Source organism: Homo sapiens, chromosome 17 (assembly GCF_000001405.40).
Source record: "Homo sapiens chromosome 17, GRCh38.p14 Primary Assembly".
Taxonomy (NCBI): domain Eukaryota; kingdom Metazoa; phylum Chordata; class Mammalia; order Primates; family Hominidae; genus Homo; species Homo sapiens.
The window spans coordinates 67,069,903-67,091,193 of NC_000017.11; the positions used below are offsets into that span (position 1 = coordinate 67,069,903).

At 37.1% G+C, this 21,291-nt stretch overlaps 1 protein-coding gene across 9 annotated transcripts in view, besides 1 other annotated feature; it reads right to left on the minus strand.

Moving 5' to 3' along the window:
• Nucleotides 1–541: 541 nt before the first annotated feature.
• Nucleotides 542–21,291, minus strand: part of HELZ (helicase with zinc finger) — a 175,546-nt gene continuing 154,796 nt past the window's right edge. For all 9 annotated transcript variants that reach the window (XM_047437225.1, XM_047437224.1, XM_011525544.2 and 6 more), the window contains 2 exons: nucleotides 16,927–17,179; nucleotides 542–8,684 (listed from right to left, as the gene is read on the minus strand). In XM_047437225.1, the coding sequence (XP_047293181.1) occupies nucleotides 8,350–8,684; nucleotides 16,927–17,179 (588 nt within the window). In that variant the 3' untranslated portion in view covers nucleotides 542–8,349. The remainder of the gene's footprint in view (nucleotides 8,685–16,926; nucleotides 17,180–21,291) is intronic.
• Nucleotides 17,538–17,738: a silencer, noted in NCBI's record as "peak2950 fragment used in MPRA reporter construct". NCBI's record gives its function as "represses an SCP1 promoter by STARR-seq MPRAs in K562 erythroleukemia cells {active_cell/tissue: K562}" and the evidence as "EXISTENCE:reporter gene assay evidence [ECO:0000049][PMID:32103011]".

Genomic DNA, 21,291 nt, shown 5'->3' on the forward strand with positions numbered 1-21,291 from the left:
GAAAAACAAGACCTTGACTCAGGGCAATTTTCTGCACAACCAGCATTTTTTTTTTTTTTTGGATTGTTGAATTAATGTTTGGCACGCATTACTGTGAAGTGCATGATTATACCTACATAATATATCACTACAAACTAGGTTTATGAGTTCTCAAATAAATTCTGGGCCGCATTAACAACTAAGTGACTTGTTAAGAGTAATTCAGGATAATTTTCTTAAATTTGTAAGATATTTGTTGAATGACTGTTTGAAAAGGGCTTATTTTCTCACTGACCACTGGAGATCTTTAAACTTTCAGGTAACACGTTTAAGTCTTAAAAGCATTACTGCTGAAGTTAGGGGATTTAAGCCAAGTCACAAATGTCTGGAAAGTAGAGTTAGAACTTTACAAATTCACACTGAGTTCTCAGTTACATTCGTTTTACCATTTACTATTAGGAATAAAATCAAAGGGCTGTGCTTAACTTCAGTCAGACCTTTGACCTTAAGGGCAGAAGGAAGCAGAGAATTATAGTTCACACATAATAAACACATCTCCAAATTATTAAAAAGGCATTTTATTATAAATACATTTTAGTTGTAGCAGTAAAATACATTTTGTTACCATGAATCTTTGAAAACAAAAGAACTTCACTGAGACAATGAGCACACTGTAGGAACTGTAGACCCCAAGTTGAAAACTTGTTCTATGGAACCAAAGTAGCTAACGTAATTCCAAAACTAAGTTAGAAAAGATAAAGACAAAGAAAGAAGAAAATAAAAACCCTAGAGAGTGGCTTTGGGGTTATTTTATGGTACAAAGTCACTTTTACTTTTAAGGATAAACTCTTTAGGTATTAGAGCCTCTTAGATGAGGTATCATTTACTGCAAAGAAAAAAAATTGTTATAATTTTGCCATAAGTTATGCCTATTTAGATGGCTGTATAACTGGTACTTTGAAGAGATGAACCTGACCACCTCAGTTTTGTACAGCTTCCCTCAGGAAGACTTCCCAAAATAAGACTCAGTATGAATTTGCTAAGTAACTGATCTATGAAGTTAGCTGAACAAGTTTAGATAAGAACTATATGTATGAAGCATTAAAAAAAAATCCTGTGTCACTAATAACAGGACCCTTTAATAAAATGCAAAACTCATTATCTTTATAATTTAGAAGAGAAGTATTTTAATCACCATATTTACCTAGGATACAACTACTACATATAGCCAGTACCTTTATGGGGTTTAAAGAATCAGGTCAGATGACTGGCACAGAAATCAGATACAGTACAATGTCATATACATGGATTTATAGGAAGCAGGCATGGTCTGGATTTATGAAAATCCAGGACCCTTCCTCTGTAAAGGGGGAGGCTGAGAAACATTCTCAGCTGCACTGACACTTTGGGACTTCAACCAGGACAAAGAGCCCTCTGACCTACTGAAAGATATAAAGAGGTCTTCGCATACAAGTTATCGTGCAAAGCAAAGTGTAAATAAACCGAAGCTCCCCTCTAAGTTGGGACTGCATAAAGGAACCCAGGCTGAAAATATAAACAATCCTCTCCAAAGGTGAGCAAGCCTTTTCAGTAGGAAGGACTGTGTCTTAAGAAAACTCCAAAGCTGTATATTCTACGATGGTCTTCACGTGTACTTTTACACCTAAGTCATTCTGTATTCTATTACCATAAAAATAGCTTTTTTTTGTCTTTCTAGTAGCTCAGTAAATTCAAAGGCAAACTAAAAACCAGAAGCAGAGCCCAGTACCCCCCAAGATGCAGTCCAGATAAAACAGCAACAACACACAAATTAAACAATACCCAAAGACCTGACAGGTTTATTATATTATAGGCAGTTTCTTTCTCAAAAATAACTTGCTCATACATGTGCACCTATGACTTATGAATAATTCATGCTGTGTAGGTGGTAGATCCCCCTAGGCTGTTTTGCAAACACATATAGATTTTTTTAAAGGTAGCAAAGTAATCAGAGACATTTATTTTCTGCCATATGTAACACTTCAGGCTCTCTCTAACACCTGCTGGCATGGCAGAGAATCTAAAATAACTTTGTTAACCTGAGAAACACATAATTTGAAAAACAAATCCTTTGCCCTCACCACCCTCCCCCACAAAAAAAAAAAATAATAATAACCATAAAAACTAAAACATTTGCCAGGCGCAGTGGCTCATGCCTGTAATCCCAACACTTTGGGAGCCCGAGGCGGGCAGATCATGAGGTCAAGAGATGGAGACCATCCTGGCCAACACGGTGAAACCCCGTCTCTACTAAAAAATACAAAAATTAGCTGGGCGTGGTGGCGCATGCCTGTAGTCCCAACTACTTGGGAGGCTGAGGCAGGAGAATCACTTGAAGCCGGGAGGCGGAGGTTGCAGTGAGCCGAGATCATGCCACTGTACTCCAGCCAGGGCAACAGAGCGAGACTCTGCCCCGAAGAAAAAAAAACAAAACTATTATTTTATTATTTAAGGATTATCTGTGGTTTTCGATGCTCCATGTCACTGCCATCTTAGGACAGGGACTCCTGCACTTAGTGCCTCGATACATGCTAGGTGCACTCTCATGGCATTCTGATGGCTTCTTTCCAGGATTCTCACTTCCATGCATGTGGATCAAGATTGACCCTAAGCACACCAAACAAATGCACAGCTTCCAGACTGATGTCCAGGCAGCAGCGTACACAAAAGCAAACTCACCCTAAAACCAAAGAGCTCCTTCACCCTACTGCGGAAGAGCAGTGCAGACCCCAGCAGGGGTGAGAGTGAGGAGGGGTGGTGGCCAATCCAAAGGGCCTGTCGCTCCATGGAGACCTTTCTCCACAAATGTTCCAGTCATGGCACCAGATTTATAAAAATGTCTCCAGAGATCAGTTTTTTACACTGAGTAAATAAATACATGGTTGAAAAGACGTTCAGACTCTGAAGGTCTCTGAGACTTTCAAACTGCGAGAATCAGACCCAGTGATTTTCAAAGTGTGGTTCCTGGACTGGCAGCATCAGCATCGCCTGGAAACTTGTTGGAAATGCAAATCATCAGGCTCCAGACCAAAATCAGAAATGCTGGGGGTGGGTCCAGCTATCTGAATTTTAACAAGACCTCGAGGCAATTCTGATACTGGCTGAAGTTTGAGAACCATTGCTCCATCCTGTTCACAATTCTCAAATCTTAAAACAGGACAGATCTGTAAATAGTACTATGTGACTTCTACTCTGTGTTGCAACCTATGTAATTTGCCACCCTTTCCCCTTTACTTCTCAAACATTAAAAAAGTATTAATGAAAACACTTCATAAAATCAAAAATTTCTTAAAAGGTAATATCGATTTCCCCTCCTCTACATAGTTCTAAGGCAGGCAATCACATGCTAGTATGCAAAGTAAAATACAGAAGAGACCTCATATATGAGGTAGAAACAGTTAAAAAGACTCCCCACGAACATAATGAAAATTTCATAATATTGTTTAATGAACTCATAGAATTATATAAAACTTACTATGCTTTATGCTTAATATCTGTATCAAAATAAAATCTCTCTGTTGAACAAATTGCAAATAAAGTCTGGTCTAATACTCTGATAACTGAAACTATATGAATGTCTCTGGGTTTTCTTAACACTCCAGTTTTAGACGCTTTAGACGACCACTGCGGAACTGGGTTTGGTATTTAACCACAGTTCACATTTCTAAGTCTAGATTCTTCTATTAGGTACCTCCCTCCAAAAAATTTTTAGAAACTCTGGTGACTGTTTCCTTAAACTTCACTCCAAAGTAGACATTCTCAATTGGTTCAAAAATTTTAAACGTTACATTAAAATTGTTTTTAAATCTCTTGAATCTCATATTCTAGTTTAAAGTAATAACAGGATGTGTTTAGTAAGATTCACTCCTTGCAACAATGGTCTTGACATTACTGATTAAAAAGGTATGAAAGTAGAAAGTGTGAATTTAGCAGCTTTAAAGTCTCAGCTAATAAATGTCCATCCTCAAGCAGATGGGAAATGTGAGGAGCATATCATAATGAGCATTTTCAAGACTAACATGCCAGTTACTCTTTCAAGATGGAGATGGTGTCTTTGTAAGTGATTGGCACCACTACGTGATATTTTGAACAAGAAATCGTAGATAGAACATTACCTATTCTTTCTAATTTCTAGGCGGTTTGAATGTGGATCAGATGGCAAAGAGTGGAGACAAATCAGATCCATTAAGACATTTATACCTTGAGATTCAGGAAGACATATAGCGCGGCAGTAGAAATTAAGGATTTTCATATGTTAAGGGGATGGTGAGCAAGAAATAATGTACGGTAAATCATAAAAGACAAATTACTACCATTGAGGAGCTGGAGGGAAAAAAAAAAACACAATGGCTAGCTTACATGACATTTGAAAGCACCAATTTGTATCTTTCAATACATTTAAAGTTTTAACCTTGTATTTTTATAGATTCTTTCTGGGATTCCCTTTTTAAAAATAACTCCACTATAAAACAATGCTATAGAAGGTGTCTGTTTTTAAATGAGTATTTCAGTAAGTCTAATTTTCTTAATAACAATGGTTGAAATACTAAAATTTATCTTGAAATTGTTCTTCACACCCTGACTCTTAACAAAGGTGGCTCGCTCTAGCTAAGGGGGCTAGAGAAACATCTTTTACGTCTGCAGCTTTGCTCTTGACATGAAAAATATTAAACACATAAAATCAACTACACTAGAGCAACACAATACTATATATTAATTATCCCAAAGTTGGGAAATTCATTAGCTTTCTCAGCAGCTCCAATGCCTCCATAAAAAAGGAGAGTATTTTCATAAATTGGTCTTAGATGTTGCTATGTTTAATTAGGTAATGCTTATTCAGTGGGAATTCTGCTTATTTTACTTATTCTGCAGTTCTCTGAACTGAAAAGACCAGTTGATGTTTACATTAAACCTAAACTTATTCTAAAATCTGATGATTTAAAAAAAAAAAAAATCTACACAAAGCAGTTTGTTATTTCACGTGTAAAAAATGACCTGGATAGAAAGCACATCTGTGTGAGGAAAGGAAAATTAAGGTCATGTTAGTTTAAATGGTCAATAATTAACTACTGATTAATCAAAAACAAAGTTCTGCTATAACAATTTGGCAAAGCATATGCCCAAATGACAACCAAAACCCCCTTTAAAGACACACAAGAAAATATCCATGTTACACGGAATGAGGTTCTTCAAATCGTAACAAAAGACCATTTTTAGATCATGAAAAGAATTTTTTCAGCATGAAGGCTCACTTTACAAACTCTATCATCCAAAATATCGTCTTTCAGGTTAAAAAAAAAGAAAATCTCAAGTAGCACTGAAATTAAAAAGTGAAACAAATATTCTGGCAAGAAAAAGAAAACTTCAGAGTGATACAAAGGACAAAGATGTAAAAAGACATTATGTGAACAATTAACCTCACTTAGAAAAAAATCTGCTCTGAAGAAATGGAAGCTGGTAATACTTGGTATTATCTGAGAGCTATCATCAAGTTTTCTGGAAAAAAATTTTATATACATATACTATACATATATATGCATATATAAGGGTTGAACCTAGCATATAAGTTATGTTTCATAAATCTGATTTATGGGTACTTGCTACTACTACTCAAGTAATACCCAAAGAACATCAGCTGTACTCAGAAGACACGCCTCATTTTGATGGAAACTTGCAATGATTCTTACACAAGACGTGTTCAAAATGTTATAAGATACTATGCGTAAAGAGCAGGTTCTTTAAAGCATGGTTGGAAAGATGGCATTATGTAATGCTGAGGAAGAGTAAGCTTGTTGTAAGTCAAAATAAGCATTTGATGCAGAATCTAAGAAGAGTATCAGATGGAAGCAGCGTTAGAATCCTTGACTGGCTATGGAAATAAGGAATGAGAAGTACTCATATACTCACAGCAGAGCGGTGGGCCAATAAGTAGCTATTATTTTTAGTTTTTAGAAATAACTGCTTAGAACAAGGATGTCATGACAACTTAATAGCTTCCTTATCCAAAGCTTCCATCATCAACATATTTATATAAGGTGATGGGGTGCATACACGACCCCATGACCCTTAACTAAATATAAATATAAATAATTTAAAAACTGATATTTTTTAAAGATTCAAGTATAGAAAACAGAAAATTAGGCAATAACCTCATGACAAGGGGTCAACTGAAAGCCCTGACTTGACAATTCTGTCTTCATATTATCAGATTGCTTTTGAACATTTATCTAGCTTGCGTTGTAGTCCTGTATATGGGGGCTGGGGGGTGGATAATCACTGATGGGAAAATTATTTTCCATAACATCCTCACATCAGAGAGATCTAATTTTCATTCGGATATGTCTTGAGTTTTGTCACAGACTTAAAAGCACATAGCTACGTGGCAAAACTTTTTCTTCTTTTCTTCCTACTAAAGAATGTTGAGTAAAATTTGACATTGCTAAATGTGGTGATCTGACATCATACAGAGAAAGAGTGGTGCTGTAACTTGCCGGCTCAGTTTTCCAGCTGTGATTTATGCTAACCATTAACACGTCTGCAGTTTACAAGTCTATGTCTGCCACCTTACACAGAGACCCACAGCCTGGAACGCAAAGCCACACACAAATGAACCGCACTCTTAGCAGAAAGGTAGAGCTGAATACAAGAGGCACGCAGCGCTTATCCTGGAGCTTGCTAACCATTAACCAAAGGCACTCTTTTATCCCAAACTGTCTGAGGATTAAAAGGGGTTGTAGCTGGCCAACATAAACTAAACTCCAATCATAGAAGAAATGTCAGTAATTTTTCTTTACCTTTGCCATTTTACAACCTGATTTTAAAAATGTACTTTGATTATAGGATTGCCTATCGAAAGTGGTCTTCCAAAAACCTGTTTTTGAATGGATCATCAGGAAGATTGGGTTCATTCGAAAGGTTCCCCAGCCTCATCTTATTTTTTTTTAAAAGTTTATATTGTAGTTTCGAGATACCTCTGAAATATAAAAGTAGTATTACAAGGTCAGGAAAATAAGGACATATATTGCTTTAAATGTGTGACAAGACCATAAGTTTCAAGAGGGTAAACATCTTCCTTTGGATTTTACCAAAATTCATTCAAAGCAATTTTTAGATGGTAGAATATTTAAGATGGCTATTTAAATTTTATATTGTGTACAAGTTCAATAAGGGGTATTTTAGAAGAATTGAAAGACATGAAAAACAAGGGTAGTTTTCTGCCCCAGATTCTGATGAATTTTGATACATTTTTGACAAACATTATATTTCTTCTTTAATGGTGTTCCTCAAACAAGACAGCTAGCAAAATATTTGAATTGCCACGTATAATGTCACATTTTAATGTAAACATCAAATAAGGTACCAAAATTTTTACTGGAGAGAAAAAAACCCAAACCTTAAAGCGGCACAATTCTTTATACCACTGGAGAAGAGGGAAGCCAGGTTACAAACATTTACACATGCATAGTGAGAAAAAAAGAATTTTACTAAATTCACGCATTTTTAAAATAGTTATCAAGTCTACTAAGCACCAACAATCCTAAAAATTTTTCAGCTTCTTGATTTGTTTAAAAAAAAAAACACACACTATCAAATTAACATTAAAAACAAGCTTGAAGTGTAGCTTGTCCAAAAAATAACTAAGTATGCCAACGTTTTTTTCACATTTCAAAAAACAGTGGCATACAAAATATGCCTGCAAAGAATGCCTTTAACTCTATCCTATGGTGGATGGAGATTACAACAACACATCATACATAGTCTAAAACTATAAAAGTTTTAGAATGCAGCATCGTGTCACCAAAAAAAAAAAAAAAGCTGATAAAACTTATTTAGAAGATGCTGCCCCTTTATTTTAAAAAAAATTTAAATGAATTTAAGCAAAAATAACATACATTTGTACATCAACTGGCCATTTCTGGTACAGAAACCCAGCATGTGGTAATATTATTGAATAAATGTAAATGCTACTTACAATTTTTTTTTCTTTTTAAATACATTTTAGACAAACTTTTCTTTTTTTTTTTTTTTTTATAGTTGCACAATTAACCTCTTGGCTGCTAGCTTGATGCAAACATATGTAACAATACACAAATTTAAAAATTTTTTTATTCTACATAAAAGCTGTCAAAGTTTTGACACATCAAAAATGCAAAATAATGGAATATACTTTAAAAAAATTAGTTGCAAGTCTAGCAGCAAAGCAATTAAGTGAGAACATATTTAATATTAAAACAAAGGGAACTGTGCATCTATAGATGAAGTCCAACTACCTTAATTCTACTGATACAAACAGAAATTAAAACATTCTCCCTTGAGGGAAAAAAAAAGTGATTATTTAAAATATGAGTAAAAGCCATTGCTGCCAGATGAGCTCCCTAGGCTCAGTTCCTGGAAGAGAGACAGAGGGTCGCTACTCTTCTTGGCCTGCTCAGGAGGGGGCCTGGGCTTTGGAGGGGCCCGCAGAGCGCTGGCATAGGACATGGCGGGCTTGCCCCCCGCAGAGCTCTGGGGGCTACTGCTATTGGCCGACTCCGCGATCTGCTTGTTAGGCATAAGGGGTGGAAACTGGCCAAGATGCTGCAGCACACTGTAGTTGAAGGAACTGGACACCTCGAGGTTCTCCGACTTCAGTTGATCCTCAGGGGGTTTGACAGTCTTGGGTGGCGCTAAAAGCAGAGAACAGTGACACAGATTTAAGGATGAGCCCAGCAATGTTCATGTGCCTCATTCACTCAGTGTGTCAGAACTGGCTCTCATCTCCAGGAACTCAAGGACAGTATAGCCACAAGGACAGACACCTTCTGCCATAGAATGCTGAAATCACAACACATCCAACCAAACGTCCCTATCTTATAGACACATAAAACAGCCATGAGAAGTGGAATAGCTAACATATAAAAACTAAAGTTCAAATCTGAAGGCTTGCTGAAAAATAAAAAACTAGTTTGTGTAACTGTACACTTTGATATTTATTCTAGTAACTGCTCATAGTTTGTAAACAGGCACATGCTCTCTCTTAAATAAAAAGGAGCTGCATATCCAGACTCTTGGTCAAAACAGCTTTTATTACTGAGCTAAGTAATAGTGCCATGGGATTCCATTTGTTTACAATGCTACCCTTCCTTGTATTATATACTGAGTAACATGGAATAAGGGGTGCGTGTGGAGACTGTAAATGACTTCACATTTCCTATAATGTGCCTGACTTTCAAGGTCCCTTAAAATTTGACTCCATCCTTCCTAACCAATTTTATTGCTCACTAAACCATAGCTTGCTTTCAAATAACTGCTTTTCTTTTCAATCTTTTAAAACTTTATGTAACATTGTACTGGATTATAAACATAATACAAATTCACTGAGGACAATTGGAAAATTTCAGAAAAGTCCAAAGAAGAAAGTCATTCATACTTCTAAATACCAGAGATAAGCCTTAAGTTGTTGTTTTATTTTTCCCTAAGTACTTGATTTAGAGTATTTCATAACTTACTTATGTAATGTCTCATTTTTAGAAATTTTCATTATCACCAATTTTTCTCTTCTCTAGACCGTGATGTTCCAGGTCAATATTTCTAAATATTCACGGCTCCTTCCTCAGGATAAGTGCCTAGGTGTACAATGGGATGTACGAGCCATACAAATTCATGTATTTCACAGCTATTTCCTCAGGATAAATCCCTAGGTGTACAAAGCTTCTGACAACTGTGGCCAAACCACTCTGCAGGAAGATGCTGCCCATGTGTACTCAGCCAGCCATATTTGCCCATTGCCTTACCCAATCACAGCACTGGCATGATAACTGTTTAAAAGCTTAGCCTATTTTATTAAGTAAATAATTATCTTGTTGTGGTTACAGTTTGCATTTCCTTGATAGCTGGTGTGTATGAACAGTTTTCCTTGTTTATTACCTATTTGCAGACTACCTCTGTCCATTATTCTATTGGACATACTATTCTATTGTTTTTTCCTATTATTTTGTAGGCACTTTTTACATATGAAGAATACTATTCTTTTGTCATATGTTGCAAATATTTTTACCTGTTTTGTGATTTCCCTTTTAATGTTATTTATAATGCTTCCACTTTGTCAGCAAATGTTTTAGATTTTACTAAGCAAATCCATGAACTAGTTTCTATGCGAAGTCAGATATTTACATCTTTTTGTGAATCTTTAAGGGTTTCCTGTTTTAAGTTAAAATTTTATAATCTATCTGCAATTTATTTTATTATGTGGCATAAGGTAAAGATATAACTGTTCATTTATTTTTCCCTTGAATGGTTAATTAATCATTTATTGAATAATCCATCCCTTCTATACTGATCATACTTTTATTATTACTAAATTCTTTTGTGCATTGAAATCTGTATCTGGGCTTTCTAGTCTTCCTGTTCCACTGAACCGTGTTTCTATTTCTGTATCAGTATTAAGTTTTTTGTGGCCCTATAATAAATTGTGTTCTCTGCTCTTTGAAGTCCTCCTTCTTTACTTTCCTCCTCTACCTCTTTTCAGATAAATTCTGGATATTCTCACAGACCTTCTATTTAATTAAACAGGCAGGTGAGCCATGCTCAGTCTGCTCTTCCTGCTTTCTCACAGGTTGCTTCTCATATCTGGAATTTGCCCATTTACCCATCCAAAACCTTAAACTGCCTTCTCAATCCAATAAATATTTATTGGGCACTTACTATGTATTCACTGCTGTGCTAGACCCATGAAAGTATACAGTTGGTTAGAGCAGCCCTTTGTAAACTTATCATTTTATTGTGGAAATAATATATAATATTCAGTCATGGCATGGCTAAATAACAATAGAAGTGGAACAATGAAGGCTGATATGTCCTAAGGGAGTTCTGGGAGAGCCAGGAGGGAATCTACATAGAGAAGATGAAACCTGGGATGAGTCCTGAAGGATTTAAACAGGTGGGGAAAGACTAGGAGGGCACAGGAGAGACTAGTAACAATCTCTCGGTTTCTGTGCTTTCCCTGCTTCCTTTTAGGTACAGAAACCCCACCCATCACACTAAGCTTAAATTGGACACGTAGTTGCTCAGCTAGTGACTACATTTCCCAGCTTCCCTTGTAGCTGAGTATGGCTAAGTAACTAAATTTGGCTTAATTAGATATGAGCAAAAGTGTGCATGCAATTTCTGTGTCATCTCTAGCTTGAAGATAAGCCACTTGCCTTGAAACACTGTCATGGCAGAAACCTAGCTTTGACTATGCAACAAAGACAATCCTTCAGAGGACAGTGGGACACAGTAGAAGGACCTTGGGCCCTTCAATGACTTTGTGAAGCAAAGCTACTCAGATAGTGTGAACTACCCAATTAGGTAAAAGAAAAATAAGTTTCTATCTTATTTAAGGCACTGTACTTTGGGGTCTCTTTGGGACAACAGCTTAGCCCTTACCCTAACTGATACAGGTAGAAGAGGACAAGAATGGGAAGCATTTCCTCATTAGTCTCCTCTGAACACGGTAAAAGGTTAATATTAGACAACAGAGGGCAATAACAACAGAGAGGTGAGTTAGTTCCTCTTGTACAAAGTTTTCTCCCAACTATTCCACCATCTTTAAGGGTACAGTGTCTAAACTGCACATTTAGCACTTGGTTTTATGTCCTTTAATATTGATTGTTATTGCTTTATGTATGTTAATCTTATTTCCCAAACTAGATAGCTCCTTGAGGGAGAGGACCATGCCATCTTTTTCACTGAGCTCTATGAGTATGGCACTCTGCTTCTTGATGGCCCTGTGGTTAGTGGGCCACAGAAACTGTCTCTTCCTTCCTTGTGTTCATGTCTAGAAGGAAGTGTCCCATTGGAACATACCTGATTTAGATTGGGCTGGATTTCTTTTCCCAGAAATTTCTGTATGTGTATGTGGGGCGGGGCAGGGGGGTGCAGGTACAGACAGAGAGGGAAAGTGAGACCTTTAGCTAGATTACTTTGGAAACCAAAAGACACTTAAAAATACATAGAAGAGCAGAGTGATCAGAAGACCAAGAGCAGAGTGATCAGAAGACCAATTTACAAGGAAAAGCAGGACGAAGGAGCAGGTACACAGAGGAAGCCATAGGCCCTGGAGGGAGATGCTGAGACCATCACATCTAGTGGCTATTTACCATGGGCCAGGCACTTTGTGCTATGCACCTTCCATGGATTAAACACAGTGACCAGAAAACTATCCGGCTCCCCTCATCAACCCAGCTGGCTCCCTGGATCTTATTTCCAGTAAAACTGTTTTTACCTGAGCTACTTTGGGTTGGTTTCTGTTTCTTGCAATCAGATGTAGCTTAAGACAATCATCAAATAGAATGAACTCAGACATTTGATCTTCAGATATTTAGTGAGGTAGCTCTATCCTTGAGTTCAAAATAAGTAAAAAACTGAAACCACAAGAAACCCCACTAATATTTCTTTTTAAAACCCAAACCACAATGGTTCATTTCCTCTAAAACACACTAGTGACACCTGATGGAAGCTACTTCACACTCCATATGACAAAGTTTCAAAACCATGTTAACATCAGCAATACAGCTGTCCAATATAACATAAAACTAGAATTCAGAAGGTGAAAATATTTCACGTTTTAGCTTTAGTATTTTATTTATTCAATATGCTAATTTTATAGTACTATTTAAAAATTTTAAAAATTCATAAAATTCTTCAAAATGATTTTAAAGCATTTAATATCTTTCTAGTATATTTATCACTTTTCCCTTTAAATGTCACTGATTTTGTGAATAAAACAATGGCTTTCAAGAACAATTAGTTTAACAAATATTTCAATATAAGTGTTTTTTGCTGTCTAAAATAATATATAAAATAAACATGGCTTTCATTGTTCAAGAACTTACTATTTTTATTTACTTTATTAAGACTTATTTAACCATGTTCTCAGTTTTATAGCAATGTAATTAGTTTTAACTGTTTTTTTTTTTTGTTTTTTTTTTTTTTGAGATGGAGTCTTGCTCTGTCGCCCAGGCTGGAGTGCAGTGGTGTGATCTCGGCTTACTGCCACCACCACCTCCTGGGTTCAAGTGATTCTCCTGCCTCAGCCTCCCAAGTAGCTGGGATTACAGGCATGCATCATCACAACTGGCTAATTTTTGTATTTTTAGCAAAGAAGGGGTTTCACCATGTTGGCCAAGCTGGTCTCAAACTCCTGACCTCAGGTGATCCACTCGCTTCGGCCTCCCAAAGTGCTGGGATTACAGGTGTGAGCCACCATGTCTGGCCCAGTTTTAAATGTTTTTAATTAAATAAATACTTAGAAAATAATAGTTTAGAGGCAGTTTAACCTAATGCCTACATCCTTGTCTAACCATGAATACAAGATTGCTACTAATTAATCATGTATATATTCCCAATAAGAGAAAACATTCTCTGAAACTATGAATTTCACTAGTCTTACAACTAATATTTTTCAAAATACATATCTCAGCCGGGCACAGTGGCTCACGCCTGTAATCCCAGCACTTTGGGAGGCTGAGGCGGACAGATCATGAGGTCAGGAGTTCTAGACCAGCCTGGCCAACATGGTGAAACCCTGTCTCTACTAAAAACACAAAAATTAGGCGGGCGCCTGTAATCCCAGCTACTCAGGAGGCTGAGGCAGGATAATTGCTTGATCCCAGGAGGCGGAGGCTGCAGTGAGCCAAGATGGTGCCATTGCACTCCAGTCTGGGTGTCAAGAGCAAGACTGTGTCTCAAAAACAAAACAAAACAAACAAACAAAAAACACATCTCTAATCTAAAATTTTCAACCCATGCATTAAAAGAAAATGTCTGCTAAAGTATGTCTTGTCACCAGGTAAGTGAACAGAAACCAAACATACCTGTGTTGGAGGAGGGATTCCCCACCCTCTGCAGTGCAACTGGGTCACCCCCTTAATTGCACAGAATCTAGTTTCATTATCTCCTTTCTCCACAAGCATTTACTAAGAGCCTAAAGTGTATTCAGTGTCAAAACGGGAAATTCAAAGTTTAAAAAGGCCAAAGATGGGGTTTCTATTTTAGGCTTACAGTTTAATTGTAAACTGATATCCATATCAAACACAATCATCTTTTTAAAATTTCAAACCAATATAATATAAACAGTTTTCTTCAAGCTCAAGAAATAAATCTCTAACTTCAGTAAGAAGTCTCTCATGTGATTATTTTATGTCTGATACCACTACTACAATTCTCTAAAAATAAAAAATTGATAAACAAGAAGTTGTGCTTCAGGACACTCGTGATTTGAATTAATTTTTTAATGCTAAACTAAGTGATACTTTCAATTTAAAAATACTACACTCTGTCTCCAAGCAATGAAGAAAATAATGACTTTATATTTGCAGAAAAGATACCACAAATGACATGAGCATTTGCTCAGGAACTTTCTACCTTATCAGCTTGGGTCAGCTTTTTATTAATTTCAGCAAAAAGCTATCCTAAAACTTAGGTTAAAAAAAAGAAAGAGGCCGGGCGCGGTGGCTCACGCCTGTAATCCCAGCACTTTGGGAGGCCGAGGCGGGCGGATCACAAGGTCAGGAGATCGAGACCATCCTGGCTAACACAGTGAAACCCCGTCTCTACTAAAAAACACAAAAAATTAGCCGGGCGTGGTGGCGGGCGCCTGTAGTCCCAGCTACGCGGGAGGCTGAGGCAGAAGAATGACGTGAACCCGGGAGGCGGAGCTTGCAGTGAGCCGAGATCGCGCCACTGCACTCCAGCCTGGGCGACAGAGCGAGACTCCGTCTCAAAAAAAAAAAAAAAGAAAGAAAAAGAAGAAGAGAAATGATGTTATCGTAAAAAAATTATAATAAACAAAACCACCAAAAAAGTAACAAATTATTATCACTGATTTGTAATGTAGATGTTTGCCAGGAAATTCAAATATGATAACATGAGTGAGTGTATTTATCCTAGACCCTGAAAGTGACAAGGCAGGCTCACACCTGTAATCTCAGAACTTTGGGAGGCCAAGGCGGATGGATCACTTGAGGTCAGCCTGGCCAACACGATGTAGCCCCGCCTCTACTAAAAATACACAAATTAGCTGGGCATGGTGGCAGATGCCTGTAATCTCAGCTACTCGGGAGGCTGAGGCAGGAGGAATCGCTTCAGCCCGGATGGCGGAGGTTGCAGTGAGCTGAGAATGCACCACTACACTCTAGCCACGGTGACAGAGCGAGACTCTGTCTCAAAAACAAACAAACAAAAAAGTGACAAAGCAGCCAGGCATGGTGGCTCATGCCTGTAATCCCAGCACTTTGGGAGGCTGAGGTGGGCAGATCGCTTGAGTCCAGGAGTTTGAGACCAGCCTGGGAAACATGGCGAAACCCCATTTCTACAAAAATAAACACGAAAATTAGCCAGGCATAGTGGCACATGCCTATAGTCCCAGCTACTTGGGAGGCTGAGGCAGGAGGATCATTTGAGCCTGGGGTGTGAAGGTTGCAGTGAGCCGAGATTGCACTACTGCACTCCAGTCTGGGTGACAGAGCAAGACCCTGTCTCAAAAACAACAACAAAAAGACAAAGCAACCCGAGGCAAAATACAGCGGTTTACTCCTAAAAGGTACCAAAGAATGTTTAAAGATTAAAATGACAATGTCTTTTGCCAGGAAATAAAAGCAAAAGCTTTTAAATGTTTTTTTTTAATTTTTTTTACCATGTCTATTGTTCTAAAAATATGCTAGCATGGCACATACTCAAAAATGGGCCAGTTACAGAAACAACAGATTCACATTCTAAAGATGAACAAAATTTGTTTCAAATAAAAAAGTTGATGTTACTGGGCAAAAATTCACCACACAAAGATCTCAGACTTGTTCACAAAGATCAACGTCTACAGCATACAAAGAGAAGGAATTAGAGAATTCAAGCAGTATAATTAGTTTCTTTACATTCAATATAAAAAAGAGAACAGAGGAAAGATCAAAGCGCATTCATCTTTAAGGCTAAAGAGGAAGACTCTAGATTTTCCATCATACAAGTTTAGAGTGTCTTATCCATTCCGATCCCTTTCTATGCCTTTTTTGTTTTTTAGCCATGAAGTTCTACAGTTTATTAGAATAAAGGAATAAACAAGGATTCTTAAATCTCAAAATGTCAGACTTTACTGGTCTCTCTCGTGGCCAAACTCTATTATATAGCAAATTGTCAACACTTTACTGACAACAAATCCTTGAAAACATTCATCTAACCAGCTCCCACTCACCCCCCTCAGCCCTGAAGGAAAAAAACCAAAAAGCAGAAAACAAACTTTTCCCAAACAAAGGTGATTCTATCTATTCAGAAACATGTTTTAAGCTCCATTTCTTCTTTCAATCACAGGTCAAAATGATCAGTTTCCAAATATGGATATATCTACTAACCTTCTGGACATAAAATATGGAACTGGCCAGGTGCGGTGGCTCACGCCTATAATCACATTTTGGGAGGTCGAGGCGGGTCGATCACCTGAGGTCAGGAGTTCGAAACCAGCCTAGCCAACACGGTGAAACCCCATCTCTAGATACAAAAAATTAGCCAGGCGTGGGTGTGTGTGCCTGTAACCCCAGCTACTTGGGGGGCTGAGGCAGGAGAATCACTTGAACCCAGGAGGTGGAGGTTGCAATGAGCCGAGATCACACCATTGTACTCTAGCCTGGGCGACAAGAGTGAAACTGCATCTCAAATATATATACATATATTAATATATATATATAAATAAATATAAATATAAATATATATATATATATATATATATATATATATAGAATCAATATAGTCCTAAATTGCACACCTATGAGCTATTAGCATCATTAAATATTGTTCAAAGATGATAATGCAAATTGGGGGCAGGTGGTATAGAAGAAAAACTCCACAGATATCCGGGAGCTGAGGAGTACAGATTAGTTTTAGCCACCAACTCTGTCTTACCTATCAACTCTCTGGGCTGAGCTGTCCTGCTGGATCCATTGCACGGAATGTTCTGATAAGGAGTAGATGAGGTGGTGTTTACCCAGGACTCCGGGGATGAAAAGTTGAAAGAAGATTGGTTACTGTGGTCCTGAAGCTCTTTACACTGAGCCAGACTGTCTTGAGGAGTGCTTACTTCTTCAGAACAAGGTTGAACTGAGCTAGATGAGATTCTTCTTTGGTACAAGGGCCGACCAGGTCCTCTGGGCTCATACTACACAAAGAAAAAGAACATTTCATAAATCAGTGCACCTTGTGCCATAGTCCTCTCTCTTTTCACTCCATAGCAATATCTCACTATATAAAGTAAAAATTGTCAAGAATATACTGTGACTGTGAAACCCTCCCTCCACCCTACTCCCACCAAAAAGAAAAAGGGCGGGGAAGGGTACAGGCTAGGCTCTGGACATGGTGTCAGAAGACCTGGGCTCAAAACTCAGTTGTGTTCCTCACTGCATAGTCCTGACAATATATGTCTGATTTCTGATTCTGTTTTCTTATCTGTAGAATATGGGAATTGAAGTAGTTGTTTTCAGTTCTAAAATTCTATTGACATTTTAGATAATAGTAGATTAAGAAAAAGCACGAAGGAGCAAATCCGCTCAAAATTAAATGGGTAAAGTATAGGCAGTTGAGTCATGGCCCTCTTGAGCAGAGTCAGCTATTCTACACTTATCTCTTGGGCCCTTCCTTCATAACATCATAATTTATTTTTCTTTAGACCTGATGGCAAGATGTGATTCCTCCTGTCCAACGTAAGTACTCTTGACTGGACTCCACTGCATTTCTTTTAGTCAAACGTCAAATGACACAGCATACTCATTCATTTAGTCAAAAAATATTTTATATGTTTGAAACCCAATTAACTTAGTATATTTTCTCCTCCCTAAACTCCCTGTATTTGCACAACCCAAATTCCTTTAACCCTTCCGACAAGATCTATGTGGCAGCCATGTCAAGATTTTTTTATAGTTACCCAAGTGCTGTTCAATTTGTTCTTGCCAGATACTTGTGATCAATATTCAGAGTCAATTCTAATGGCAAGGCAGTGTAGAGCAGTGGTTAGGTATCAGCCTCCATCTAAGGCTAGACTGTCTGGGTTAGACTTCAGGCTCTGACTTTTATTGGCAGTGTCACCTTGGGCAACTGATTTAACTTCTTTGTAACATGAATTACCCACAGTCCCCATATCTTGGGATTGTTGGGAGAATTAAATAAGGATGCATAGCATGTACAGCAGTTCTTGGCACACAGGAAGGGTTCATTGCTATATAATTATTTTAATGTAATATATAAAGATAAGATTCCACGTTCCGTCTCAAATGACAGAATGGGATTGGTGTTTCATTGCCCCTTTCTTTTTCCTCTTTTCTTTTTTGGATAGCAAATGATAAATCTGCTGTTCAGTCTGTGGTCAGTTATGACTCTCAGAAATTGTACTTTCACCACTGTTGTTAGCAATAATTGGAAATCAGGAACTGGAGGCTGGATTAAAAAGAAGGCAGAGAGATGAACTGGCATAACAATAACAGGATGGCTTCTGGAAATATAAAATAGCACAAGCAGACATTATCAAGCCAATTAAATGTGAAAATTGTGGGGGTAAGCACTGAGAGTATTAAGTTAAAGTAAATGGAACCACTAGGATGTAAACTAGGGAAGAAAATGGGTCTGGACTGGCTGCCCTTGTGCGGAGAGGCAGGAAAGCCGTGACGAGAGCAATTCTCTCGCTATTAAGTTTTGAGTGCCTCCATTTCCACAGTCTTAGCTATTGAATGGAGGAAGGCAAGAGGTAGTACTGCCATCTGGTTAATTTCTTTTTTCATATAATTTTATAGATCTGTTTCTAAGCACAGTATCTCAATTCATCTTTAATTTTACTCTGCTTTAAAGGCAATTGTTTTCAATGGTCAAATCATTATGAATTTGATTTGGTTTTCTAGAATGTTAACCATCCAAATTAATTTAGTGTCAACTAGGAATGTAATCAGCACAATTGAAATTTCTTTGTCTAAGGCATTCAATTACGGTAGTGAGTAGAATAAGTAACCTTTCTAAACTGCACTGTGTGCTCTATGCCTGACAACCCTGGATCACAATGGCTGCGCAGCGTGTCTTTTTTTTTAAATCAAGGTTTGTAATGAAGACAATTAGCTCTTAAAATTGAAATGTAGTATTTCTTTCTATGACTATCCCGAGTGTTTAGTCACAATCTTCAGGGGATTACATTCTAAAGTTTTCATATGTGAATACTAAAGTACAAAACTAACGTTGGGTATGGGCTCAGAAAGAGCAGATTATGATAACCATGTCTCCTGGTGATACAGAACACTAAATATACTCTCATGAATTTCAGGCGTTAACTTTATAAGCCCCTTTTCATTAAATAACGAACATACACAAACCAGTAGTATAAACGATAACCTTTTTACAATGAATAGACATATGAACCAGAAAGCTTAAAGGAAGAAAACGAAAACTCAGAAAGAAATGGAAGGCTGATATAAGAGAGAATATTCAATTAAACTTTACAGAAAATTTATATCATTTGTATCTTCCAAACTGAAATCCAAAATAATCACTCAGTTGACATGCACAGCAGGCTCCGGGGAAGTATTGTATAACCTATCTACAGCTATTGACAGAGATAAACATGTAGATAAAATATGAAATTCAATTTCAAATTATGTTATGAATATGATTAATTTTTTATGTCAGAAAAGCAAAACCGAAACTGGAAAATTTTTTAATGCTTTTAAAATTAGATCTATTGGAGATTTTATATATATATATATATATATAGAGAGAGAGAGAGAGAGAGAGAGAGAGAGAGACAGAGAGACAGAGAGAGAGACAGAGACAGAGAGATTGATTGATTTTTGTGTGTTGACCTTGTATCTTGTGACCTTGCTAAATTCACATTAGTTACAGGAATCTCCCAAGGAATTGGGAGATTCCTTGGGCTTTTTCTATACTGACAACCATGTCATCTGTGAATGGAGACAGCTTCATTTCTTCCCTCCCAATCCCTAATGCCATTTATTTTCTTGCCTTATTGCACTGGCTAAGACTTCCAGCACAGTGTTGAAGAGGAATGTTGAGAACAAATGTCTTGCCTTATTCCTAATCTTAGAAGCACTAAATCTCTCACCATTAAGTATGATGGTAGCTGCAGAATTGTTATAGATGCCCTTTAACAGGGTGAAGAAGTTCCTTTCCATTTCTAGTTTACCAAGAGTTTCATCCTGAGTGGACCATGCATTTTGTCAAATGCATGTGGTTTCTATGTCTATTGATATGATTGTGTGATTTTTCTCTTTAGATTGTTAGAATGGTGTATTACATTAATTTATTTTCAAATACCACACCAGCCTTGCATTCTAGAGATAAGCCCCCCATGATCATAGTATATTCTTTTCATATATTGCTAAATTCAAATGGCTAATGTCTTGCTGAGGATGCTTACATTGATATTCATGGAAGTGGATCTGTGATTTTCTCTGTTTGTATTGCCTTTATCTAGTTTTGGTATCAGAGTAATGCTGGCCATATACAATAAATTGAGAAGTGTTCTATTCTCTGGAAAAGATTGTGTAAGTTGGTGGTTTTCTTCTTCACATTTTTGGAGGAATTCCATGCTAAAACCATTTGGGCCTAGAGATGTCTTTTTTGGAAGGTTTTAATTACAAATTCAATTTCTTTAACAGTTATAAGACTGTCCATATGCCATCTATTTCATCTTTGGTGAGGTTTTAAGGAAGTGGTTCATTTTATCTATGTTGCTGAATGTATGTGCACAGAGTTGTTTGTAGTGCTCCCTTATTACCATCCTTTCAATGTCTACTGGGTCTGTAGTGACCCAGTCTCCTTCCTAATATAGGTAGTTTGTATCCTCTTTTTGTCTTTGTCAATCTTGCTAAAGGTTTATCAATTTTACTAATCTTTCCGAACAACTAACTGGGTTTTATTGATTTTCCTTTATTGCTTTTCTGTTTTGAATTGTATTGAATTCTGTTCTCATCTTTGAAATTCCCTTCCCTCTGCTTGATTTGAATTTATTTTGCTCTTCCTTTTCTAATTTCTTGGGGTATAAGTTTTGATTATTGATCTGAGATCTTACTTCTTTTCTAATAAAGCTTTTATTAAATTCTAATACAAGCTATAAATTTAAATTCTAATATAAGCTATAAATTTCCCTCTGACATGGCTTGAGCTGCATTACACAAATTAGGACAGGCTATATTTCCATTTTCACTCAATGTAAAACATTTCTAATATTTCTAATGAAGAACCTTCCATTGGTCAAAGATAGGGGACAAGGTGTGA